Source organism: Homo sapiens, chromosome 5, assembly GCF_000001405.40.
Source record: "Homo sapiens chromosome 5, GRCh38.p14 Primary Assembly".
In the NCBI taxonomy this organism is placed as follows: domain Eukaryota; kingdom Metazoa; phylum Chordata; class Mammalia; order Primates; family Hominidae; genus Homo; species Homo sapiens.
Genome location: NC_000005.10, coordinates 59,179,261 through 59,206,568, shown reverse-complemented (window position 1 = coordinate 59,206,568; position 27,308 = coordinate 59,179,261). Strand labels below are relative to the sequence as shown.

The following is a 27,308-nucleotide window of genomic DNA, read 5'->3' as shown; positions in this document are numbered from 1 at the left end:
TATGAATACTTGTTTTCACTTACACATCAATCATTTTAAATATTTACTTTTGCTTGTCAGTCTTAGCTTCTTAATGAATTGTTCTCAATGTCTCCTTTACTGTTTTCTGAGCCATATAAGGAAAAACAGTCACACTGCTGGAACATTTATGTGATGTGTTTCTTGAGATAAGATATTCCAGGGAGTATTACTAAATCATACTGTCTAAGCCCTTGCAATATGAATCATCTAAAGATGTGCTTCTATAAATAAACAGAAAGAAAGCATCAAGCAGACCCATGGTTTTTCTTTAGAAAACCAAGTAAGGAATATCAACCACTGGGCTTTGCTTTCAGATTCCTGGTAATCTGTGGTATGATTCACACCAGGTTCACAGAGGAAACAACCCCAATTATTCCGTCTGCCTACTGCAGCATCTCCTAGGCTTTGTGTCCACCTACGGTTAATTGCCTTGAGACTTTATGGTTTTTCCTAACCTTGGGTCAAGAAAAATTTGCTGACATTGAATACTGGAAAGTTGTATCTAAACATATATAATGTGTCAATTCCTGCAACCCTCTCTTTAAGACGCAGGGAACTTCAGAGCAGAAAGAAAAAGAATAACTGCTCACCCCTCAACAAATGTGGAAGGTTGTGATGTGACAAGAAATCATTTCACCAGTTCAGTAAATGATGTTGTCTCCCAATAAATGTCATGAATGATCCCAAGTCCAAAATTTTTTAACTCATTGTTTCACTCCCAAGGGAGAACAAAGCTACATGCAGATCTCATATTTCCATGTTTCAAAATTCATTTTTTCTTTGGTGCTTACAGAACTTCAAATTGAATTTGTTATAACCACCAAGATCAGTTTTGTTTTTGTGGATTGGTGTGTGTGTGTGTGTGTGTGTGTGTGTGTGTGTGTGTGTGTGTGTTTAGCTAGTGGATAGCATATTAGACAGCACCGAGAGTCTTGCAGAATATTCTGTTGCAGAAATAGAATGTTGCAGAAATATTCTATTGGACAGTGCTGTTCTAGAGTCTAAAACATTTACTTCTATGTGCCTTCAGAATAGTCTAAATCCATTTGAGCATACAGAAAGCGGCATGGTAAAAACAAAACAGTATTTGAAGGCCTGGGCTCAAATCCAGCTACACTGAACATTTCCATGCCTTGGGATTTTATGACCCAGTAAAATTTCTGGGACACTGACCTAGGGTTACTAACTCCTTATTTTGCCAGGTAAAGAACATTAACAAGGAATTACCCATCAATATATATGTTAATTTTATTTTTTAAAGACATTTTCACTTCAGTGAAAAAGAAAGAGCATAATCTCAGAATAAAAGAATTTTCCAAAGGAATACGTATAGTTTAAAAAAAAAATCTCACTGCATGGTCCATGTACACTCTGACTTTGACAAGGACCACTGAGCATTCTGTTGGGCAAGTACCAGATCTTAGAGTGGCATTTGGAAACCACTGAGTTCTGTCAGCTTGTCAAGGGCATGACTGCCAATGAGTAACTTAAGTTGTCAGGGCCTAGTTCCTTATGTTAGAATGGGAATATGAGCATCCATTTAATGCAGAGTTGTCAGGATTAAATTCAGCATGTTGGTAGAACACCGTGTCTGGTGCCTAGTAGGCATTCATAAAACACATTGCTCTCCTCTCTGTTTGATCAAGGGCTTCCTTTTAATCTATTGAATCTTTTCACCACATGCAGACCTTTAAAATTGTTGCACTAGTTGACCAAAAATCTTTTCCCTAGGATCCCATTCTGGTGAAAAACCAAAAGGGCAGGGCCACTGGCATTAAGAACAAGCCTGCCAATAAGATAAACTGTGAAAGAAGATCCCGTTCCTAGAACACAAAGTGAGAGCACTTGTGAATCCCTGCCCATGTACTCAACTCTTTCGCTGTCTTTCTTCCCTCCATGGAAGTCAGACTCTCAGCTTTGTACTCAAACCTTCTGGTGATAATTTGGGACATCAGCCGTCCTAGAAAAGTCTCTCTATTGTATTGGTTTTTATTAAACAAAATAACCTAATATGCTTAGTGAATATGTCTACACACATGTGCTAAACATTTGTTTAATTATTTAACTTGGAAAATTTTGGTGTATCATTTCTAACAGAGATAGTCTTTGTGCCATCATATAACTAACAAATTTGAAGGCATTCATTGGCATCATGTATTTTCTCTAATGAGTCCTAAATTGTTTTCTCATGACAAATAAAGAGATTCCATTTTAGACTAGATTATTTTTTGCTTATGTTGCGTAAACTTCAGTCCCATCTGCTTTATCATCAGTGCCTGTCCTCCACAAGTGATATGAGCACACATGAGCCAAAAATTAAGGATTTTTGGTTGAAAGATTTTTTTTTTTTTTTTGGTCAAAGATGGGGCCGGGCTCTAATTCTTGTTTTAAATTTATTTTTCATCAACAAATAACAAATTATATGCATTTATTATATACAAGGTAATATTTTGATATATGTATACATTGTGGAATGATTAAATCAAGCAATTAACAGGTCCATCACCTAACAATTTATCATTTTTTGTGATGAGTACATTTAAAATCTACTCTCAGCAATTTTCAGGTATACTATGCATGATTATTAATTATAGTCACCAGCCTGTACAGTAGATCTCTTGAAATTGTTTCTCCTTCTAACTGAAACTTTGTACCCTTTCACCAACATCTCCCATTCCACATCCTCCCATTCTCCCCCAGGCCCTGCTCCAGTCCCTGGGAACAACTGTTCTACTCTCTGCTTCTATAAGTTTGATTTTGTTTTTAGATTCCACATATGTGTGAGATCACATGGTATTTATCTTTCTTGCCTGGCTTATTTCACTAAGCATAATGTATTCTAGGAACATCCATATTGTCATAAATGGAAGGATATCCCCTTTTTAAGCCTGAGTAGGATTCTAGTGTGTGTGTGTGTGTGTGTATATAACATTTTCTTTATTCATCTGTTGTTAGACACTTAAGTTGATTCCATATTTTGGCTATTGTGATTAATGCTGCACCAAACATGGGAGTGCAGGTATCTCTTTGACATACTGATTTCATTTTCTTTGGATATATACCCAGAAGTAGAATTGCTGGATCATATGGTAGTTTTATCCTTAATTTTTTGAAGACCCTTCATACTGTTTTCCATAGTGACTGTACTAGTTTACATTCCCACCAACAGTGTAAAAAGGCTTCCTTTTCTCCATGTCTTCACCAACATTTGTTACCTTTTTTTGATTAAAAAAAAACTATTATAGGTGTCAGGTGATATCTCATCATGGTTTTAATTTGCATTTCACTTAAGATTAGTGATGTTGAGCACTTTTACATATACCTGTTGACCTTTTTTTGTAGGTCTTGTTTTGATTTTAATTTTTTTGTAGAGAAGGTGTCTCACGATGTTGCCCAAGCTGGTTTCAAACTCCTGGGCTTAAGCTATCCTGCTACCTCAGCCTCCTAAGGTGCTGGGATTACAGGTGTAAGCCACTGTGTCAGGCCATTGTTTTGAGAAAGACCTATTCAGGTTTTTTGCCCATTTTAAAATCAGGTTATTTGTTTTTTTGCCATTGAGTTGTTTCTTAATTCTTAAAATATTAATAAGATGTGAGCAAACAGTTTAAATTTCAGAAAACTAAATATCTTTGAAGGTCACTGTACTAGTCTGTTCTCATGCTGCTGATAAAGACATATCTGAGACTGGGCAATTTACAAAAGGAAGAGGTTTAACTGGACTCAGAGTTCCACGTGGCTGGGGAGGCCTCACAATCATGGTGGAAGGCGAGGAGGAGCAATTCACATCTTATGTGGATGGCAACAGGCAAAGAGAGAGAGCTTGAGCAGGGGACCTCCTCTTTTTAAAAAATTAGATCTCATAAGACTCATTCACTACTATGAGAACAACGCAGGAAAGACCAGACCCCCTAATTCAGTCATCTCCCACCAGGCTCCTCTCAGGACATGTGGAAGTTGTCGGAGTTAAAATTCAAGATGAGAACCCCATCTCAAAAAAAAAAAATTCTAACCTGCTTTAAGAAATAAAAATAGTGGTTTGCACTTGTAATTCCAACTGCTTGGGAGGCTGAAGTGAGAGGATCACTTGAGTCCAGGAGCTTGAGGCTGCAGTCAGCTGTGAATTGTGCCACTGCACTCTAGCCTGGGCAACAGAGTGAGACCCCACATCTCTTTAAAATTTTTTCAAAATATTTAAAATGATCAAAACGGGCGAGGCGCTGTGGATCATGCCTGTAATCCCAGCACTTTGGGAGGCCGAGGCAGGTGGATCACGACGTCAGGAGATCGAGACCATCCTGGCTAACACGGTGAAATCCTGTCTCTACTAAAAATACAAAAAAATTAGCTGGGCATGGTGGCAGGCGCCTGTAGTCCCAGCTACTCCAGAGGCTGAGGCAGGAGAATGGCGTGAACCCGGGAGGCGGAGCTTGCAGTGAGCCGAGATTGCAGCCACTGCATTCCAGCCTGGGCGACAGAGTGAGACTCCATCTCAGAAAAAAAAAAAAAAAAAAAAATGATCAAAACACCAGAAAAGCTGCATACACAGATATACAAACAGGTGGCCTGAGTTTGGCGTTGAAAAGTTTCAATTTGGAAGATGTTACCTCACACAATACTAGACAGCTTTAATGTTACTCATATATTAATTTACATTTTCTTTGATTCTCAGTAAAAGGTTGCTGGACATTCTTGCCAAATTGAAAGTTTTGGTAGTTGTGATTTTTAATACAAGTTTTTGTGTTAAATAGATTATTTTAATTCTAAGTGGCAATAGCTTCAAAGAGGAAAAGCACATTCACTTGTAACTGAAGTTGGCTTTATTATATTAGGAACTTTATTCCCTAGGGTTTCATAAATAGATGTACTGCTTAATTTATTTTGACTTAAATGGAGCTAGTTTCAAATTAAAAGGCCAAGCAATACAGAGGATCCATATCCTCAAGTATGTCTAATACCAAGGAAACAGTTTTTATGTATTTTTGGTATTGTTTTATTTACTATATAGATTACTTAGAGTTTATAAAAAAATCTAATGCCTCCTTTATAAGTAATTTTAAATCATTCATTATATTCTTAAATTTATAATTTGTCAGAGTGAACATTATTTTTGGAAAAACAAATCATCTCTTTTAAACGCTATATGGAAAAAATAATTTGGTTTTGCAAAATTTTCTTGGTAGTCACATTTTACAGAATTTTTGTTGTCTGAAATTAGAGTTTCATGATTTTAATTTAAGCAGGTAGCAATATAAAATACTTAACATTCCCATGAATTACCTGTGCAGCCCAGTTTCTCATGTAGCATTTTAATATTTACCTTTGTCTTATGTATATTTAATTAAAATAAGCATGTTTCCTTTAATAAGTAGCTTTTTAAAAATGAATGAATGATAAATGAACTGAAATTCGTCTGAAAAACCCATATGATTATTTTTTAATTTATTTAAAAATAGAATCAATGCTTACATTTTAATACATTTGGATTCACATAACTTGAAAAATTTTAGAGATTACCGAATATAGATTGGAATCATTAACAATATTTTAAAAGAATAAAGGCATGTATAATTTTTATGGTTCATTAATGTTTAATGCTAAAAGCAAGATATACAGTTGAATATACACTATGACTCTAATTCTATAAGGAAGTATGTAGTCCATAATAGTCACATACTATATTGCATACATGTGCTCACATACATGCAGTGGGAAAATGTTATCAATAGTTATCTTTGAATGGTTCTTTAAGTTGTTCTATATCTCCCAAAGTATGTATATGTATGCATGTACTTCATATGTGTGTATGTATATATATACATACACATATGTATGTATACGTGTATCTATACATACACATATGTATGTATACGTGTATCTATACATACACATATGTATGTATACGTGTATCTGTACATACACGTGTATGTATACGTGTATCTGTACATACACGTGTATGTATACGTGTAGCTGTACATACACGTGTATGTATACGTGTAGCTGTACATACACGTGTATGTATACGTGTAGCTGTACATACACGTGTATGTATACGTGTAGCTGTACATACACGTGTATGTATACGTGTAGCTGTACATACACGTGTATGTATACGTGTAGCTGTACATACACGTGTATGTATACGTGTAGCTGTACATACACGTGTATGTATACGTGTAGCTGTACATACACGTGTATGTATACGTGTAGCTGTACATACACGTGTATGTATACGTGTAGCTGTACATACACATATGTATGTATACTTGTAGCTGTACATACACATATGTATGTATACGTGTAGCTGTACATACACATATGTATGTATACATACACGTGTATCTATACATACACGTGTATGTATACATATATACATACACGTGTATACTTATATATACATATACGTGTACATACATGTATGTCTACATGCATGTATGTGTGTGCATACATGTATGTCTACATACATGTATGTGTGCATACGTGTGTGTACATGCATGTGTGTACATACGTGTGTGTGCATGTATGTATATGTGCATGTATGTATGTTGCATGCATGTATGCATGTGTATATATGTATGTATGTGCCTGTATGTATACATGTATGTATATATGTATATATGTGCCTGTGTGTATATATACATGCATATATGTATATATGTACATGTGTATATAGATGTATGTATATATGTACATGTATGTATATATACATATACACATACACACACATAAAGATCAAGTAGGTTACATTATATGTTTGTTTTATATGTCCATACTTCTATGAAGATGGGTCTAGAGAGTTGTGAGTAGACGTGGTCCTCCTATAGCTAATCCTTGGGTGTTGTCAAATAGTCTAGGCTCCCAGAAATATTTTTATATTCATTTTAAAATTAGAACATACTTGTTTCTCTATAATTCTAAAAGAAGTTGTCAAGGGTGAATTGATAGATGGATGATAGTTTTTAGGCTGAGGAAAGAAAGATACTAAGATTTCAAAATTATCAAAATCTTGGACTTTAAAATATATTTCAAAAATATTATTTTAATTTTCTATATGTTTATCAATTTCCTAATCCTATTGACAAACTTCAGAGGAGAATATCTTTCTAGTAAGAGTGAGTGAAGCACAGAAGATGAAAAAAGTTTGCACAAGATTCCATTCGGCCAGCGCGGTGGTGCACACCTGTAATCCTAGGCACCCCATAGACTGAGACAGGAAGATCACTTCAGCCCAGGAGTTCAAGGCCAGTCTGGGCAACATAGCAAACCTCCATGCCATTGAAAAAAAAAAAAAAAGGATTAGATTCAAACGTAAGCCCCAGCCTGTGACTCCTTCACAGTGCTAGTTCATGCATTCATTTGTCATGCTAAAATTTGCAATGTGTGATATTCAAAAGCAGTGGGTCTTACATGGCCACTAATGCTTTAAATATAGTAGGATTAGGGGTCTTTGCTCCATAAAGTAAAAACTTTCTTCTAATTAACTGTATCTCCTTTTCCTTATGATTTCGTAATAGTAAAACAGATAAAGATTGCCACCTAGTGTGTTTAAGATTTCAACCAATCATGAAATGAACTTCTATAGGAAATTATATTTTCAGGTGCTGATGTTGGTTGAACTTATTTTTTTAAGATGACAACAGGCTTTTTCATTTTTAAGTACTTGAACCATATATGGATCTCAACAAAGTCACCATAAGAGTGTGGGCATTTGGATTTCTTGCTTTTAGTTTCTTGCTTGTTTCTGTTTCCTTATTACAGAAAGAAAAAGGGTAGAAAATAACGTGATAAATAATACAGAAGTAGAAGAAGGATGGGAGGGGGAATAGAGAATAGAAGTTCCTGACTCTACTGTCATTTCTCTTGTGAGAAAAAAAAAGACAATAGTATACTGTTGAGCCCTGTATTCTCCTGCTTTCAACAGCGCTGGCTCAGGACTCAGCAAGTCTTTCTCTTTGGGAGAGACAAGGCTCGCCAGGACTAGTGAAGATGACTCTGGTTCACTTCCTGGTAACCAGGGAAGGTGACAGAGCATGTGGCACCTCCTTGGACATCATGAAATTTAAAACCAATGTGACACTGACTCCCACAGTGACCTACAGTGGCTCATCCTGGCTGTTCTAGAAGTTTCTGCACTTGCATTCTGCTGTGACTGTTACCTTGGTACCAATCTCATCTCTCACATACATACATATGTGCATACATACATACATGTATACATGTGTGCATACATACATACATATAGACACGCAGTGTCAAAATGACTTTTTTTCTGAGCCTTCCTATCCCTCATTCATTCTCCGCCTGTCCTCCATGAACACTCCAGTTCTTTTTTTTAAAAGAGCTGTATTTTCCTTAAAACAGATCACAGCTGTTTTTTGTTAAGGGTTGTTGTTGTTATAATTGTTTTTATTTAAATGAAAGACAGTATTGCATCATCCTCACCCAAAATTCACATTACCAGGCGGTACAATTTCAAAATGTCCAGGCGATATTCACTGTGTGACTTTGAATCTAGCTTTTCAGTCACTTTATAGAGACCCTAATAGTCTCTTCCCATCTCAGAAGAGACTCAGAAAAATATTTAGCCAAGTAGGCCTAGGAAGCCCCAATTTATTACATTGTATTGTAATCCCTCCCAGCCCCACTTTACGTGGCAAGGCGCTTTAAAAAGCTTCTGTGGGTAAAGTTGTTCAGGTGCAAGATTTCAGAATTATTTTATTTCATAGGATTTTTTTGAGCATATGTGATTATTCAGTTCATTAAAACCCACACATACTTTAAACCAAATCATATTCACAAAGTGAATCTTCTGTTGATCTTAACTACCAGATCTGTTTTTAAATGATTATAAGCAAAGTGTAAGACACAATTCAAAGATATGTTTGTATTATATTTATTTTCTTCTAACCACAAATAAAAATAGGTTTTACTTGCCTTATTCTCCTAGTGACAGTATGTCTGAAAAGATCTGTTTTAATATTGAGTTGAGGACTTAGACAAAGATTTTAAAATTATATGTTAGGTATATATTCAAAGATAATTTAAGCATGACATACTTTTGAAAATAAATGGATAGGCTATAACCTGCCGTTTATCGAGGACATCTGCCACTGAAATGCTAGGTATCATTTTACTGTTACTAAAATGAGACCATCTTGAGATATTTGGCAGAAACAATTTCTGGGCAATTTATTAAAAAGTAATATATTTCCTTCACTAAAATGATAACTGTCTTTATGCTTTCATAGGGAAAAAAGGCTGGTAAATTATCATAAATATTGTAAAGTGTATTACTTATAATACTTATAAAGGAGATACAACCAAAGAGAAAATTAAATGTTTTAATAAATATGCAACCCTTTTGAGTTTTGAAAGATTCAAATCCACTGCAATCTATATAAAAAATTAGGAGACATATTTCCATGGATTCATTTCAGATTGATGATGTGCCTTGTCAAGATGACTTAGTCCTGAAAAAAATAAACTTTATAGTAGGTCAATTATAAAGAATAAAATGAAAGAAGAGACTATAGCTTGGGACAATAAGAAGATGTCATATTATTTTAATTTTGGTTATCTGAACTGCCTCTCATCCATTTTACAATACAATGTCTTCAGCTTGGCCATGCACTGAAGCAGATGAATAGTTTATCAGACTGGCAAATCAAGTCGGCATAGGTGGCATGTCTTTTCTCCTTGTGTAATATACCTCCCATTATGGAATTTTTAATAACATTTTTTAATGTCAGAAACCATTGAACTATCTTGAATGCAATATATGTAGTATATACACCTATTGAAAATGTTTTTTGTCTTCGGACTTCTAACACACTACACAGTTTACTGATTTGTCCACCACTCCCAAGAATGTTTGGCTTCAAATGAACTCTAAAGGTGCCTTTATGTGTGTAGAAATTTGTCAAATGCTGAAGTGTTTAGCTCTGGATTTTGTCTTCATGCTTTTTAAACACTGGTGTATCTGTAAATATTTCTCAGTTGTTTTGTGAGAGTTAGGCTACTGTTTCAAAATAAGTACATAAGAGAAATTGCAGCCCTATATTTACCTATATGACACAGCCAGAAGGGAAAGTCAGAATGATGGGCCAAGGAAGAAATGTAGCTGGCCAACCCTGGCATCACTTTGTAATTTGCATTTATTGGGCCATTTTCCTAGAGCTTTATTTTTAATCTTTTTAAGCTGTTCCATAGGAATCAGCCAATGCATATCACAAAAGGGGACCATTCCAGGTATGGCTGTGCAGCTTACTACCTGCGTGTCTTTGTGTTAAATCTCTTAATCAATTTGAGCTACAATTTTCTCATCTGAAAAATGGGAGTAATGTCACCTACCTTGCAACATTGTTGTAACAGCTGATGATTGTATATAAAATACACTTGCTGTGATAACATTCTTTTTACTTTTGTAAATGCTTGAAATTTTCATATCTTTTTTTCCCCAGAACTTTTTCTTTCCCCCAGAGCTTTTAATGCTGTCATCGTCCCTCTCTCTCTCTCTCTCAACTACCACTGATTTAGTTTAGGTCCTCATCTCTTCTTTTCTCTACACTGGTCTCCCTGCTTCCATTTTTGCCCCTTTAAAGCCCTCAATCTTTTATAGACCTGTCACAGGGTCTCAAGAGTCCTTCTTAGCGAAGTATCAGTTTTCTGAGTCTTTGCAATTTCCTGACTGCATAGGAAAGCAAAAATCATTATGATTTAAAAGGTTTTACTACTGCTGCTAATTATTATTATAGAAATGTTTATTGAACATTTACTGTGTGGTAAGCACATTTTTCAGCACTTAACATTATTAATTTATTGAATCCCAAAACATCACTCTATGTATGTGCTGTTATCTCCATTTTACAGATGAAGAGGCCAAGGGAAAGTGAAGTTTAATAACTTGCACAATTTCACACACCTAGTATGTGGCAGAGCTGAAATTCCAACCCAAACTTCCATCAGAGAGTAAAATCCAAGTTCTTGTACATTTCATACAAGGGCTCTGTGATCTGCTGCCTGGCTCGTTACCACCCATGATTCTGAATTTCCTGCCTTCCATGGCATTCTCTAGAATCACCGAGCTTCTCGTTGCAGCTCTGTATCTGCTTCTTTCTCATCTAGGCAGCTGCTCTGCCTCCTTGGCTTCATCCCTCTCTGCTGGCTCCCACGGGCTCAATGGCCTCCTTGCCACTTCAGTGCACCAGGCCTGCTCCTACCCTGGGCCATTGTTCTAGGAAAGAGCCTTTCTGGGCTTGACCTCAGAAGACCTTTTTTTTTTGAGAGTCAAGGTAAATTATGTAAATTATTTATTGATGACAGAAGAACACTATCTTAGTCCAGTTTCTGTTGCTATAACAGAATAGCATAGACAGGGTAATTTATATAGAAAAGAAGTTTATATCTTACAGTTCTAGAGGCTGGGTAGTTCAAGGACATGGCATCAGCATCTGATTAGGATATTTGGGATGCATCATCCCAAACAATGGAAAAATGGAAGGGCAAGTGAGCACATGCAAAAGAGAAAACATGAGGGGCTGGGCTCACTTTATAACAACCCACTCTTATGATAACTAACCCCCTCCCACCATAACAGCATTAATTCATTCATGAGTGTGAAGCCCTCCTGACCTAATTACTTCTCACAGGCCCCCACCTCTTAATACTGTTGCAATGGCAATTAAACATCAACATGGGAAAATACCTTTTTCAATTGACATCCTGCCTCTACCACTTATTAGTTTTTAGACCTTATGCCCTCTCTGAACCTCAGTTGCCTCTTCTATAAAATGATCATAAAACCCAATGTCCTACCTTCTTAGAGTTCTAGAGTTCTATGAATAATCTCTACAAAGAGCAGGTGCCCCTTGAAAAACATGATTCTGGAACTAAGGGGGTGTAAAATAACACATGCTTCCTTTACATTGTTTTTTCCTTCTTCTGCTTTTATTTCCCACATTTTTATTTTCAAGATCTCCACATGGTTTGATGACGACCACAGCACCTATTCTAGCTATTGGTAACAATTTATTGAGTAACATCATCCATATGCTCCCTGTGCCCCAGCATGTTTCATGGGTGTTGTTTTGGGTCACTCAGGTTGTTTTCAGATTGTTCATGAGTGAGCGAAAAGTTTATTTGCACTGTTCTCAGGGCCATGTCCAGGGAGCTGTCTGTGTTGAATAACAGCATTCACTTTTGATTTAAGAATTTTATCTAGCTAGATCAAGAAATAGCTGATGGTGACTCTGGAAATCCTTGTCTCAAATTATTCATGCTAAGAAATACCACAAAAGAACCCTGGGCCCCAGTTTCTCACTTTCCTCTAACTGGAATGTTGCACAACTTTCCTTGCCCTTCCCTGTCCCTCCAAGACACGTCATGCTGACACCTTGCTCCCATACCCCAGGCACGGTGTAGCTGGGGTTGCTGCAGCAACAGCACACAAGGAGTAACATTTCCCAGTGACTACAGTGGCTGGGATGAGTCAGTTGAACATTTCACTGGGTTTTTATTAGTGTATGATGCAGTCCCATGTCATCTACAGTTCCTAGCCTGTCCAAGACTTACACGGGATGATGTGGAACACTCCATGCTAATCACCTTCAAATATTAGATGGTCAAGGGTTCTCTCACTGAAGTCACTGCATTGCTGGTTCCTTCCACAGCACCCCTTACTAATATCTACAGTAAGAGGCCAAAAGTAAAACTCAGGCCCCACTGCTGGAACACCATTTCTACTATTGCATATCCTGTGTGCCTAAAAAGCAACAGTGACCCTGGCTGATGATCAAGAAGCCCCTCTTTTTACCCAGGGAGTTGGACAATTGTTAACATCCCAGAAGACATATTTTTAACCCAGTTGCTGGGAAGAACATGTGCTGAAGTATAAGGATGGAATCACTGTAATTCTCTATGGGAACTCATGAAAGTGGAACTTGCCGTTTAATATTGAACGACACTGAGCACAGAGTTATTGATGATTTCTAATGCGGGATTTGGTTTATTTTTCAGACACGGAGATGACTTGATTGTGACTCCATTTGCTCAGGTAAGCACAGCTTGGTGAATGGGCAGGTTTCTCACAGATGTAAAAATTTAATTTGGGGAATTAGTTCGGGTTATTAATTTAATTTAATTTTAAATCAAGCACAAGTACAAATACAAATTCTTGGTTCATTCAAGCAATTCAAAAGCAATGCTAGAGAAAGTGACTTTGGCTATATTAATCTGTTTCCTATAAACCCATAGTACCAAAGAGTGTCTTTGCTTCAAATAATAAATTAGCTAAGGGATATACTTAATTGGGCTCATACTGACATAAGCACTAGAAGCAGAAGGCTATATCATGGCTTAAGTTATGTTTAGTATAATTAGGTACATGATCAGTGCTTGAAATTCAATATTCCAATTCAACCCAATACCTTATTTATCTCTTTTTTACATATGCCATTTGTGCAGAGATTTAGCTGAGTGATGTGTTGATGTTTACTTCTTCCTTCTAGGCATACAAATCATGAAAATACTTTAACCACATGACATATGTGCAAGCAGGTGATAACATGATCTAAAATGTTTGGGAATATAAATATGAAAGAGTTGATGACCAGATGTTCTATGTATAGACCAATACTTCTCAACCCTACCTGCACGTTAGATTAACCTAGAGACCTCTTATCCCAGTGCCCAGGCTGCAGCCCTGGTCAATTAAATCCAAAAATTTGGAGATCTGTTACAAGCATCTGTATTTGTTAAAGGCCTTAGTATTTTTCTAGTGTGCAGGAGAAGTTGAGAGTCTCTGGTATAGACAACTAAGGGCGGAATGAGATAAAACTGATTTAACCTGGGGCATGAAGCAGGTTTAAAACCAACACTGATGAGTAAGAAATGTTAAATATTAAAATGCAAGTAATCCTGAGAGGTTGTAAAAATTATAATCAGGCCTATATCATACATCAAGGTGCTCTTGCACCTTGGACAACTCACTTAAATTTTCTGGGTCCTCTTTTTTTTCAACTGGTAGAGTTAGGGGACTGAGCTGGATGAAAGACAGTCAGATCTAGTTAAAACCCTTTCACCGCCTCTTGCCAACTCAATGGACTTGAGCGAGTCACTGAACTTTTCCAAGCCTGGTCTCTTCCTCTGTTAAATAACAGTTCCAAGAGTACCCACCTCATAAGATTGCTAAGACACTGAAATAATACCACGCTTATAAAATGCTAGGCACAATTGCTTGAAAATATAATATTATAAAAACTTTGTGATTGGTTTAAATGTATAGAGCTGAAAATGTTCTTTCATTTCTAAAATGTCATAAGTATTATTTTTTAAATGGATAATAGGGTTTAGATAGTAGGATTATGTATAGTTCTACTTTTTAAAACTTTCCAAACTTTTATTACTGTAACTTAGACCTATAATATAATCAATTCATAAGTAACATAATGTATAATAGTAACTTTTTAAATTAATGCAGGCAATTAAAAATAAAATACAATCACCATCCTTTTCAGATGGTTAATATCTTGTTTGCTGAAGGTTTTGCTGGAGATTATGAATTCTTTCTAGTACCTGTATTTCTGTGTCCAAAAAATTTACACTTGTATGATTTAATAATATGATGTGATAGCAAAATCTTATAAAGCTGAGGGTTTTTAATTGATTACTATTGAAAACTTATGGCCGGGTGCGGTGGCTCGTACCTGTAATCCCAGCACTTTGGGAAGCTGAGGTGGGTGGATCACCTGAGGTCAGGAGTTCGAGACCAGCCTGGCCAACTTGATGAAACCCTGTCTCTACTAAAAATACAAAAAAATTAGCCAGGCATGGTGACGGGTGCCTGTAATCCCAGCTACTTGGGAGGCTGAGGCAGGATAATTGCTTGAACCCGGGAGGTGGAGGTTGCAGTGAGCCAAGATCATGCCACTGCACTCCAGCCTGGGTGACAGAGCAAGACTCTGTCAAGAAAAAAAAAGGAAAGAAAGAAAACTTATAATTCTATATCTAAGACCTCAGAGAGAGGTGAACAGACAAAATATGGCATAACAATGTAAGTAACATCATCAAACATAGAACCAATCATTCCAATTTGAGTTCATTCAAGTAGCTATTCTTGTTTCTAACCAAATGATCTAGGTATTATTATAAGAAAAAATATATATAAATATTTAATAACAAATGAAAAAAGGTCTGTGTATGATATATGGTCTTTTACATCAAGTAATATTTATTAAGCTGCAACAAATAGATTAGTAAATTGGACTTGAACCCTGCCATCAGTGCTCTTAAATTCCAAGGAAATCTAGTCTTTTACCTGATTAGATATTTTCTGTAGTGTACCTATAATCTCCAAGGAAAAAAAACTAATGGAATTTCAAGATATTGGGAAATACACACATATATGTAATTTAGTCCATGTTAGTAAGCTATTTAAATAAAAAAGATGTGTACTTAATATACTTGAAATTAGAACTTGGAATATAAATCAGCTGTATAATTTATAGGCATATCTGATGCCTAAAAATAATCCCATAGTATATTAAGTCTTTGCTTATGATTAGCTAAGTGACTCATAACACCTTGTAGAGAGTGGTCATTACTTGAGAGGCTGCCGATTTTTTTTAAGGGGCTTCATCATGGTTTTCACAAATGGCCTTTTACTGGAGTATAAGACCTGGAAAGCCCCACTAGAATTAAAAACAAAACAAAACAAAAAACTGTTAAGCCCTGAAGAGTTTCACCACTCTTCATAGAGCATCTGTGGGGAGGGGTTAAGAGAGAAGTCCCAGTGAGTATGTTTGAGTGGCCTTCTCTTAAACCCTGTTGGACATGATTGGCATGTTTTGCTGACCCAATCACTAACTTCTCAAATTTTCTTTAATACAAAGTAAAGCACTTACCACTTAATGGTAAGTGCTATTTTAGCATTAACTATTTAAAACTAAAAATATAAGATACTTATGTCACTTGAAGTGATACCAATCTAATTTGTCCTGATATACCATAATTGCTTTCACCAAAGGACAGAAAACAATGGATTTTAGAAAAGTCACTCAGAAAAATATTTAGCCAAGTAGGCCAAAGAATTACCCTCTTTTCTCAGCATGCTTTGAAAATTGGAATTTCACACTAAATTCCAGTGAAAAAGCTATGCTTCTCAAAAAGACAAAACAAAACAAAAACTTTTTGCATAAAAGTTTAGAAAAATAATAAGAAAAAGAAAAGGAAAATTTTCTAAAATTCCAAACCCCAAAATAACTGCTACTGACATTTTATTTTATATCCCTTCAGATTTATTTTTCTGTGCATATTTTCTGTCCCATGGCTCCTAAAAATGGCCTTCCCCTGTCTAAGGTGTTCAAAGATCCCCTCCCAAATCCATCTCATCTTCTGCCTCTTCTTGAGAACTCATTTCTTTATGCCTGAGTCCATCTCCAAAACACGAATCATGGTTTCCAAATCATGGTTTCCTTTGACGTGAAAAGAGCAAAATCCTAAATTAGAGGAGAATTTAGGAAGCCGTGCAAAGATAGATTGCACTTTTTTGGCCAGGCTAAAGCCTGAAACATCTTGGATAGTAATTTTCAGAAAGGATCCTATAGTATCTCTCCATAGTTTATCCCATTGTCTAAAACACTGTCAGGGCTAGAAATTCTTGCTGGTGTTTAACCTAAACTCTTTTCCACCTCTGATTTCTTATGCTTTCCCCTGTAAGCTCAGAATCCCTTTGGTCCTCAGAAAAAGTGACAGCTTTAAATATTTTTCTTATTTCAATTGTTAAAGTATTCTCTTGTGTTTGTGTTGAAATCTTTTGGTGTGGGTGTTTCCTTAGCACGAAGGCTAGAGAGGAATCCCACTGGAGTGCACGCGGCAACTGACCTTTTTTTCTTGGCCAGAGTTCTTGGGGGCCAAGGAGCACTAAGGAGGCACAATGCTGATAAACTGTAGGAAACTCTTCTCTGCTGTCAGCTGCCTCCGGGCTCAGTGATCCCAGGATTTGTGACACAACTACCCTGTAGTAAAACTCTAAGTTGACTAGAATTTTCATGTGGAAGTGTGTAATGTTAAATGAAGTAGACTCTGATGAAAGAAAGAGAAAACAGGAAAACCCAAGCATTATGCTGGATCCCTGGAGAAACCCTCACTTCATTCAGACTAAGGAGATATCCCTGATTTGAAAATACAGAGGCGGGAGAATAACTTGAACCCAGGAGGCAGAGGTTGCAGTGAGCCGAGATCGCGCCATTGCACTCCATCCTGGGCAACAAGAGCAAAACTCCGTCTCAAAAAAAAAAAAACAAAAAAAACAAAAAAAAAAACGGGGTAGGAACAACTACATCTCTTTACCTTTACTCTAACCAAAATACAGCACCTGGGATACTTCTAGGATAAAAATGCAGTAGTTATTAATACTATAGAATATTACCATTTAGTTGGTAATAAAATATAACCAATATTCTCATATTCCTGCCTGTCCCTCAGCCACTTCACCCAGCAGCAACGATCTTGTGGCCTCATCACCATCCTCAAGCTTGCAGACTGTGCTAGGCCCTCCCTGCCAGGCTATGAAAGAAGATAGTCACCTCGTTTCAGTCGGTGCTAAATTTTTAGCTTTTCTTTAGCCTTAATTAATTTAAATTACAACTACTATCTTCTGGACATCTAAGTTCTTTTTAAGAGCGAACCATATAAAATTGTCTATCAACCTTTTCTGGTGTACAAACCAGCAATTTCATAGGGTTTAAACAAAACATAACCTGGAAAGAGGTTTTCTTTTCATAAAAATGACCTTTCTATTTTGTAAATAAGCATAACTTGACTCCAGCTTTTTCCGGAGGTAAAACCGAAGTAATGAATCTCTCCCAGTGCGGGTCGCCGCTTCCTCCGCCGCCAGTGGCACCTCAACCTCATGGTCTGTGTTTTACCGCCATCTAGTGGTAACAAGTGTATATGGTTATGAAAAACAATCCTCGAAACCATTTATTTTCCTCTTTTTTTTTAGGCTATGATGTTCAGCTGTTTAAGTGTTAAATGATAACCGTATTTTCCTGCTATTTTCAGTGATTCTTATTGTTTAATAAATGTTTAGAAGCACCTAAGAAGATCCGAGAGTAGTGTACGTAAATAACATTGAATCCTTCCCCATGGGCTAATACATGAACCATCTTTGTCTAAAATTTTTCTGTAAAACTACCAGTATTTCCTTCCTAAGGAATATATATTTCTCATCATTCCCAATGTAATTTTGACATTGACTGGCTATACTTCTGCTTGGTGGGGCAGAAGAGAAAGAAATGACCTTAATTTTCTAACCATTGAGCTCTGTGGAAGAAACGTCAGGGATCTTTTTGGTTAGCAAGCATTAAGGAGTAAGGACAACTGTAAAAGGAGCCTTAAAGCTTTGACTACAGTTCTTAAAGAGTCGAATTCAGGGGAAGTGAGGGCTGCCCTGAACAAAAGCAAAGAACAATGGAACTTTAACTTAGGGGCTTCAGTAAAACTGTTTATAGTTCTCCCCACAGCCTGCAGTAACAGATGCTCCCTCTTTGTGCCCTGCAATGCAAAGTGAAAGCTTAAAAGACTAACACAGTGATAACAGTGATGACGACACCAAGAGTCAGTCAGCGAGGCCCAAGACAACACCCCCTTATAAGATTTGTCTAGAAATGTTATTTACACTTCTGCCAATAGCATACATGTCATACTGTAGAAGATAATAGTTAACACCAAACATAAAATTTATAAAATAGTTTGTCCTGCTGCAAAAGAAAAAAAAACCCACACACACACAATAAATAATCTAATACTGGCATGCCTAGGAAATAATTTCTCTACAAGATTATTTATTGCAACAGTGTTTGTACAAAAACAACTTTAAGATAGAAAACCTAAAAGTTGATTGCTAGTGGCCAGGCAGCTGATTGTCTGAAGGAGAGACCGGAAGACAGATTCCTTTTTTCACTTTTTATTTTGAAGTATTTCATATATATAAGGGAATATAGCTTGTAATTATGTAAAATATAAAGAATAATACTAAAATGAACAGTTTAAGAAATAGAACAGTTATCAGTATTTTAATGTCCCCTGAGTGTCCCTCCCCAGGTTAATCTGTTTCTATTGCGTCTTTTCAGAAGTAATAATAATTTTGATTTTTATCTTAATCATTGAAGGGGAGACTTTTTGCTTTATACTCTTTTGTTTAAATTCTGAAGCATGTGAAGATATAAATTATACAAAAATACATAAATTTTAAACTAAAAACAAAGACAAAATAATATTAAATTAGATTACTTATTAAATTAGAAGTTTATTATAATAGAGGCAAAAACTCCTCTACAGAAATTTTTTCTTTGATGAACTAATTTTTCTTTTCATGACTGATGTTTCCCTTCAAATGATCATAGAAAATAAGTTGCCTGCATTTCTATGTCTATTTACCCAGCTGTCAACTGCAATGAACTTAACTATTATGTATTGGAATAAAAATCTCAGAATTCTAGGGTTAAAAATTTTGCCTAGGAAGGGGATCAATTAGCTGGTGCAATGATTTTATCTTAAAGTTTCCATTAGTATGTTTGATATTCACTTCTTAAAACATAAATTAAGCCTGCATGATTTAACGACAGTGGATCATTTATCCGATTTACTTCTGCATCATTCAAGATTTCATGCCTAATGAAAGACATCGTGGTCTGATGTCAGCAGTCGGCCATTTGAATACTCCATCATAGGCAGCGTGACCTTTCAGAGCCGTGGGTTGTTTATATGAGATAATGAGCCAGGTTTTTCCAGTGACTGAGTTAATCACGGTTGGCTTCTTAGGAAGCAGCATTAACTCCTTTAGGGGAAAATTCTCTAAGTCACTGTCCCAAGGCGTACACAGCTCTCCATTGACTTACACAAATGAATGTCAATTTCATAAACAGCAACAACAAAACAGAGTCTGGGACATTTTTGTCTTAGAAAAAAAATTAGACTGATTTTAGTCTAGGTCTGTGCCAGATGAAACATTTCTGAAAACAACTCTGGAAACTTTGAAGCAATTAAAACTTTGGAGACTCTTGAATTACCAATGCTAGGCATTAAGTAAATTTCCCAAGTGCATGCCAAGTCATTAAGTCAAAGGTAACGCTGCCATCATGGGCTAATATTGGCTGAATGCTTTCTATTTGCCAGGCACTGTTCTTGGCACCAAACCTGTCATTCCATATACTCCTCACAACAATTCTACGAGGTAGGTATCACTATCCCAGTTTTCCAGGTTAGGAAGCTGAGGTACAAAGAGGTTGCATATCTAGTCCAAGTTCACACATTTACTACATAACAGAGCCAGACAGTCTGGGTTGTTAGGTAATACCTACTCAGACATTTGGAATCTGTGTTTTACATAAACTTAGCACTCTAGCTGTCACCCAAATCACCTATAATCCCATCTAATATGGGTTTGACCCTGGGGAAACTTGCCCATTTCAGGAGAAAGAGAGGAGGGAAGAAGGAGATAAGGCTCTAGGAACCTTCTCCTAGGCTCACTTCCAGTCCGTTGGCTACTTTCTAGTTCCAACTGGAATTAGAAAAAGCGACTGTTAGAGATAGTGACACCTATTGGTCCTGCCTTGTTATGTGTGTGGGCATGTTGTGTCTATGTATTCATTTAGTCAACAAATTTTTATTGAGTATCTTCTGTGTGCCAAGCATTGTGCATGTACAGGGCGTAGCATTTTACATAAGAAACGCATCCCTGAGAGCTTCTTACAATGCACAATTCAGATAACCTTAACAAAAGAAAACAATGTCTGCTTACTAGCTAGAGTAGCCATGTGGCAAAGGTAGAAAAACAGTTTAAAATTCACTTCACTTGCCAACTTATTATTATGAGATTCTTCATCAATTTTTGAAGAGATTTGGGAGTAGGGAATTTTTTATCCCTAAAGTGAGCTTTATTAGCATTTTATATTATACTATTTGAAATGTGCAAAAATGCAATCATGTTATCTGTGTATTGCCTGGAATATTGTCTTGGTGACTAAGGAACCCAGAAATACTGTGGAAACTGCTGCTACTGTCACCATGTGCATAGACAATGTGGAGGGATTTCTGGAAAATTTCTGCAGTCTGGCCTCTCTGGATTTCGTGTGGATACCTACAAACTGCACTAAGTGTTGGGAGATTCTTTAGTGGTATATGAAACTAAGTTGCAAGCAATATCAAGTTTTCTCTTAACAAACCATTTTCAAGTGTATTTAAAATGGCCTTAGCTCAAGAAGTTTCAAGAATCCTTTCTTGTTGTAGGTCTTGGCCAGTCTGCGAACTGTACGAAACAACTTTGCTGCATTAACTAATTTGCAAGATCGAGCACCTAGCAAGTAAGATATCCTTTTTTCCCCCCTCTTTTTTGCTGAACTTTTAAATAAGTTTTCTCAACTTGATTGAGCCCAAGGCAATATGTTAGACTTCTCTGTGTTGTTGCCATGTTGTCTGTGTATACTAAGTCATATGATGTCCTGTTAATTTTCTATAAATACTTCGTGGTGATGGTTCTAATATCAGAAATGAAGCAGTATGACAAATAAATATGGTGATTCCATCTGTCAGAAATCACCTGGCATGATCAGTCCTCCGCCCAGTTATTTACACTCAGGGTAACTTTATAGTTTCGGCTTACTTCATAAATTAACCGTGGGTGAATAATCTCATCACACCTTAAGATCAGCTGAAAGTCATCCTCTCAAGACAACGATGATTTGGAGAAGCGCCATATCATAGCAAAGATCTTTGATTCTCCTGCTGTTACTGACTTTCAGATCAGCAGCATTCATGGAGCAATTAATAGAATTGTGGTTTATATGACAACAGGGAAAGCATTTGAAAGATGGGAAAGGATTATCATTTCAGGTTCTTGATAAAGGCAAAAAAATCTAAAAAGATAAAAGTAATTTTTCAATATTAAATGGAAAACTGGTTTGCTGTTATTTCAATGTCCATTTTTTTAAAAAAAATCTGCTATTAATATGAAATAAAATATTAAAATGCCAACTTCAAATAATTTTCCAGAAGGAAAAAAAACATTTAAATCATATTAAGAGGATAGTAAATATAAGTGTATTAGGAACTATAACTTACCTAAGTGCATAACATTTCATAGTAGTTACTACTTCTTAAAAACAATGAGAAATCTGAACTTTACATTTCATAGTAATAAAATTGACCTCCCAGATTCACGTTTTTCATTATCAAAAATAGCTCTGGCCGTTATTCAAGTACTTCTTGTGATAGAAAAAAGTTTTTAAAAATCAATATAAATGTAACAATGCAAGCTATTGGAATGGAACCCATTAGGTTCTGTTTTTCCAGGTAATGAATTTTTGCAGTCCTATTCTCTCAGCCTGAATACTTCTCATCTTCTTCTTCCTCTCCTCATCTACTGGGATAATTGTCATTCATTCTTTTGGTTGCAGCTTAAATAAAATTTCTCTTGGAGCATTGTCCCTGATGATACCCAACATAGACACACACCCACAAGCCCTAATCAAAGTGATGTGCCTTTCCATCTCTGTCTGATTGTACCTTGTACTTGATTCCTATGTTAGCACGTAGCTCTCTGTGCTCCTGTTGCCTGTTTGTCTGTTGGGATGCTCCTGAACACTGTCAGTTCCCAGTGAGTAGGAATGTAGTCGGTTCACATTTGTATTCCCTGTGCCTAGCATAATGCAGAGTCTATCAGTCTGCAAAGGCCTGTTCGCTGAAAGGGCAAAGTAGTAACTCAGCATGTAAAATCTGAGGGCATGCTTTGAGGTACCTGTTCATTACCAATCACGTTTTCTATGTAACGTGGCCGTGCAATGTCATACTGACCTCAGCGGCCCCCTTGGGCTTTGGGGATTTGGTAGCTTGTAAGGTCAATCACCTCCCCCTTAGAAAGTCTCAGCTCTGCAGAAGAAATGAAGTTAACTGGTTGTCACTCCCAAACTTTTTAGTCTCGAATTTTACCCAGGAAACTGAGATTTTTGTCTTTAAAAAGTGAACAAGAAACTCCCTTTATGCTTCCTTTACATGTGGTCACCTGGGTACCAGCATTTAAATCTGTGGCAGGTAAATAGTTGATCAGTCAGGCTCCAGAGACGATCTGAGGCCTGTTTCTATGCAAGACAGAAGTTTTCAGCTGACATACAGGGATGGAACAGATTGAAATGGAAAGGAGGAGCTAGAAGAAAACAGAAAATCATAGCTTGAGCCTGAACTTCCTCTCTGCCTTGTCAATGCCCAGGGTGACATCTAACCAAACAGTATTATCTGGCAGACTCTAAGTAAAGGCCACTGTGGTCTTCCTTTTGGTCAATGCAAATTTGTGCCTCCATTACTGATTCAAACCAAATCGGCTTCTTTGGGTATCAGAATAGTAGGATTCAATCTATTCACGGCTAAACTCGATTCTGTTCAGTGAGAACAAAGTGCTGTAACTCTGCCTCATCACATGATGACCCTGGGAGAATCAGAACCTTTCCTGCTGGGCACTCACAGAGCCACTAGAACATTTCCAAGCTCATCCTTGGATTTTATGGAAGGCATGTGCTCCTTTGCACAAGCCACCCTTTTTATTTGCTGCAGAAAAGGAGTCTAGGAAGAATGCATTCCAAACCCAGCCCCTGGGTGGGTATTCAGATGCACATTGCTGACTTGTTAACACATTACTGCTTCTTGTCACCTTGGGTTTTTTGTTTTTGTTTTGCCCTTGAGATTTTTTATTCCAGAAGTGAGTTCTGGCTCATCTGTCATTAGAGGAGGTATCGAGGCAACCATGGATCAAAGTATTAATATTTTCTGCTTGCCATTACTTGTTCAGATATCAAGTTCCTGAGTACCAGTTAATTGTAGGATTGATAGTAAAAGGAGATAATTAGAATTGAGTCAACCATTTGGTTTTCCAAAACTGTAGAAGAGTGTGAAAATATTTATTTAATACCATTCCCAGACAAAATCAATGGTTTCTAAATTTTCACAGAGCAAGGACTAAAAAGGAGTAATCAGGATATCAATTATTTGAATGATAAACTCTTAGCCAGAAGGTAACAGATAACACCCTGTTACACACAGCAAGACCCCATCTCTAAAAAAAAAAAAATTAATTAGCCAAGCATGGTGGCATGCACCTGTAGTCCCAGCTACTTGAGAGGCTGAGGTGGTGGGGGGAATCACTAGAGCTCAGGAGTTCTAGGCTGTAGTGAGCTATGATCACACCACTGCACTCCAGCCTGAGCAACAGAGTGAGACCCTATCTCAAAACTTTAAAAAAAAAAAAATTTAAGAAGAAGAAGATAATTACTGGTATATAGACCAGAGCTATTTCAGAGCAGCTGCTTAAAATATTAATATTTTGGTTTATCGAGTTTAAATTCTCCCCATTTTTCCCCCAACCATTTTATTTTATAACTAAAAAAAACTAAAATAATTCAGAAGTAAAATTTGGTGCATTTTCAATCAAACACAAAATTTTAATCCCAAATCGATACCAATAACCTTAGGAGCAATGAAAGGGAGCCAGAGGCTGAGTGGAACCAGTGAGAATTTACAAAATCCCAGGCTGCTTTCCCCAACTTTCCCCCACCCTGCTAAGAAATTCATCATCTCAGCAAGGCATATTTGAAGAGATTGATGCCATTGGCACATATGTGAGGCTGTGCATGCAGGTTCCACAAAAACATCTCAAACTAAGGCAGCAAAGCAGAGCATAGACCCTAGGATCACATTCGTTTAGTTCAAATCTCAGCTTCGTTACTTAAAACAAGTTCTTCAAATTCTCAAAGTTTTGTTTTTCTCATTGGTAAAATGAGAACAATGAAACTTACTTCCTTAAGGCTTATTGTAAGGATTCAATGAGATAATTCATTTAAAGTACTTATTTAGCAATGTCTGATCCACAAGAAGTGTTTATTAAGTGTTCACCCTTGGTAGAGGCAATATATATATAATTATTATATACCTAATATATATATATATATATATATATATATCAGACATCTTTGAATGTATCTAAAAGTGTTTTTTAATCATTATATTTTAAAAGCTGTCAGTTACAAGTAATAACTTTATAAAGTTATATTTCAAAAATGTTGATGGATACTTTATAAATGATATTCTTTTCAACATAATTTATTAAGCACTGACGGAATACTGGATGCATTGTGCTAGGCTCTGTAGGGAATATAAGTTAATCAGACAGCATGCTTTTTTTTTTTACTTCAAGGGGTTTATAGTCATTTTGTGGAACTTGGCAAACATCTGAAAACTTAGAGAACACAAGATATAATTTATTTAAGTACCTTTGGCTTAGAGTATTTCTAAAGCTTCTATAGTATCTATTTGGACAAGTCATTAATATACCTCTCTAACAAATATATCAGAGGTGTTTTTCAATATAAGAAAAGAAAGGAAAAAGTTCAAATAGCTTCTCTAATTATAAGATAGTTTACAACAAATCATTCACTTCTGATAATGTACAGGCAATCACGAGAATTTAGGCCAACAATAAAAATTTCTTAACCCTGTATTAGGGAAGACAATTATAAATTGACTGCTTTTTCAAATTCAGAGTCTATAAGCTCTGGCTTCAGCGAATAAAGTCTGTAAGAATTTCCTCTTCTCTCATGTCCCAGTGACACTTACATCAGCTTTATTTACCCCAAATCAATCACTGTGAGATTTACCAGTTTTCTTTTTGGACATGTGTGATCTGAGCCATAATACAAAGAACGCCTAGGGACTTGTCTGGCTAGTCTGAAAGAAATCATTTGCGTGTCCAAACTTAAAAATAATTCTTTAAAGTAAAATGCTATATCTGAAATGACTCAGAGAGTGATCAAATCAATAAGCCCCACATATTTACTGCTTTGTGTTTTTCTGTCTTTGTCAGAAGATCACCCATGTGCAACCAACCATCCATCAACAAAGCCACCATAACAGGTAAGAAAGATCTGGAGCTTATTCTTCATGTGTCTAGGAAGAAACCATTTCTGCCAAGAGTCAATATAACACCAACACCAATTTCATGCTGCAATTTGAAAATGTTAAAGAAATTCTTTCTTCTCTACATTATCATTTCTATCATTGATCTCACAAATTGTCTAAGCTGTTATTTGGAACATTTTTACCGATTTACGTTTTTTACTGATGTACATTATTTTTAACCATTTAACTATGTGCTTATACTCATTTGAGCATTGCTCTGGGCATTTGTATTTTGAGAGATGATGTTACTTTCAAGTCACTTCCCATTCTGGTTCCACACATGTGTTATTAGCATGATATAATATGTCATCATTTAGTTTAATAAGAGTGAAGGCATAAATAAAAGGAGTAACGTGTTGGTTCATCAATATCCCACTTGTGTGTAGGAAGCAACATTGTACCAGTAGTCCAATAAAGGACTGAGAGAGCTGAGAATAAACTCAGTTTGGGAGGGGAGAGAAGTTAATATACAATGCAGAAAAAGTTCAATGAGATCAAAACGTTGGGATCTATAGATGTTTGGGAAAGAAAAATAGGAGGAAAGATGAGAGGAGCCAAGTGCATAAAAATAAAATTATCTCAATTCCTATTAGTCTGTTTTAGGCACAGGACTTGACCCCAGCTGAACCAAAAACAGAATGCATGATCTCATTTTGCTGAACCTGAAACCAAATTGAACTCTTTTGACTATTTCTTGAAACCCCAATTGATTCATTAAAATAATTGCCTGGAAAAGAAAACCTATGTTTTCTAAAATTATTACCAGAAGAAAATTAGCATATTCTCCAAACTAAAACAATTCGTCATTGGATTCAAGTGTCTTCCTTGAGCTCCAACCCATAATGTGCTGAGGAGCTCTTATTAAGTTATTAGTGAGTACACTTTGCTTGAAATTTAACTTTATCATGTCCAGACGTCTGTCTGTGTTTGTGGTCACCACATTAGAGTTGATTCTGGAATCATTGTTAATGTCATCTTTTCTGAATGTCATCAAGTGAAACTTGTATTTCAATGAATGTTAAATTATTGATCTCTTCTTCATGTTTCTCTTTCAACATATTATTGGTGATGACTTCCAATTATCATTTTATAGTACATATATGGTTAACCAGTTTTGTTCTTGATATTGATCAAGAGATGAACAATAGGGCCAGGAGTGGTGGCTCACGCTTGTAATCTCAGCACTTTGGGAGGCCAAGGTGGGTGGATCACTTGAGGCCAGGAGTTCAAGACCAGCCTGGCCAACATGGCGAAACCCCATCTCTACTAAAAATACAAAACTTAGCATG

The 27,308-nt window shown here is 36.4% G+C and overlaps 1 protein-coding gene across 29 annotated transcripts in view, besides 1 other annotated feature; it reads left to right on the top strand.

Annotated features, from left to right (window-relative positions):
* Positions 1 to 27,308, top strand: part of PDE4D (phosphodiesterase 4D) — a 1,553,091-nt gene that overhangs the window by 1,315,560 nt on the left and 210,223 nt on the right. For 27 of the 29 annotated variants that reach the window (XM_024446112.2, XM_024446110.2, NM_001364599.1 and 24 more), the window contains 3 exons: positions 13,033 to 13,069; positions 21,307 to 21,380; positions 25,925 to 25,974. In XM_024446112.2, coding sequence (XP_024301880.1) covers positions 13,033 to 13,069; positions 21,307 to 21,380; positions 25,925 to 25,974 — 161 coding nt within the window. The remainder of the gene's footprint in view (positions 1 to 13,032; positions 13,070 to 21,306; positions 21,381 to 25,924; positions 25,975 to 27,308) is intronic. The other 2 variants (NM_001349243.2, NM_001364604.1) reach the window with 1 other exon arrangement.
* Positions 25,902 to 25,951: a silencer, noted in NCBI's record as "silent region_16037". NCBI's record gives its function as "represses an Ori minimal core promoter by ATAC-STARR-seq in GM12878 lymphoblastoid cells {active_cell/tissue: GM12878}" and the evidence as "EXISTENCE:reporter gene assay evidence [ECO:0000049][PMID:35858748]".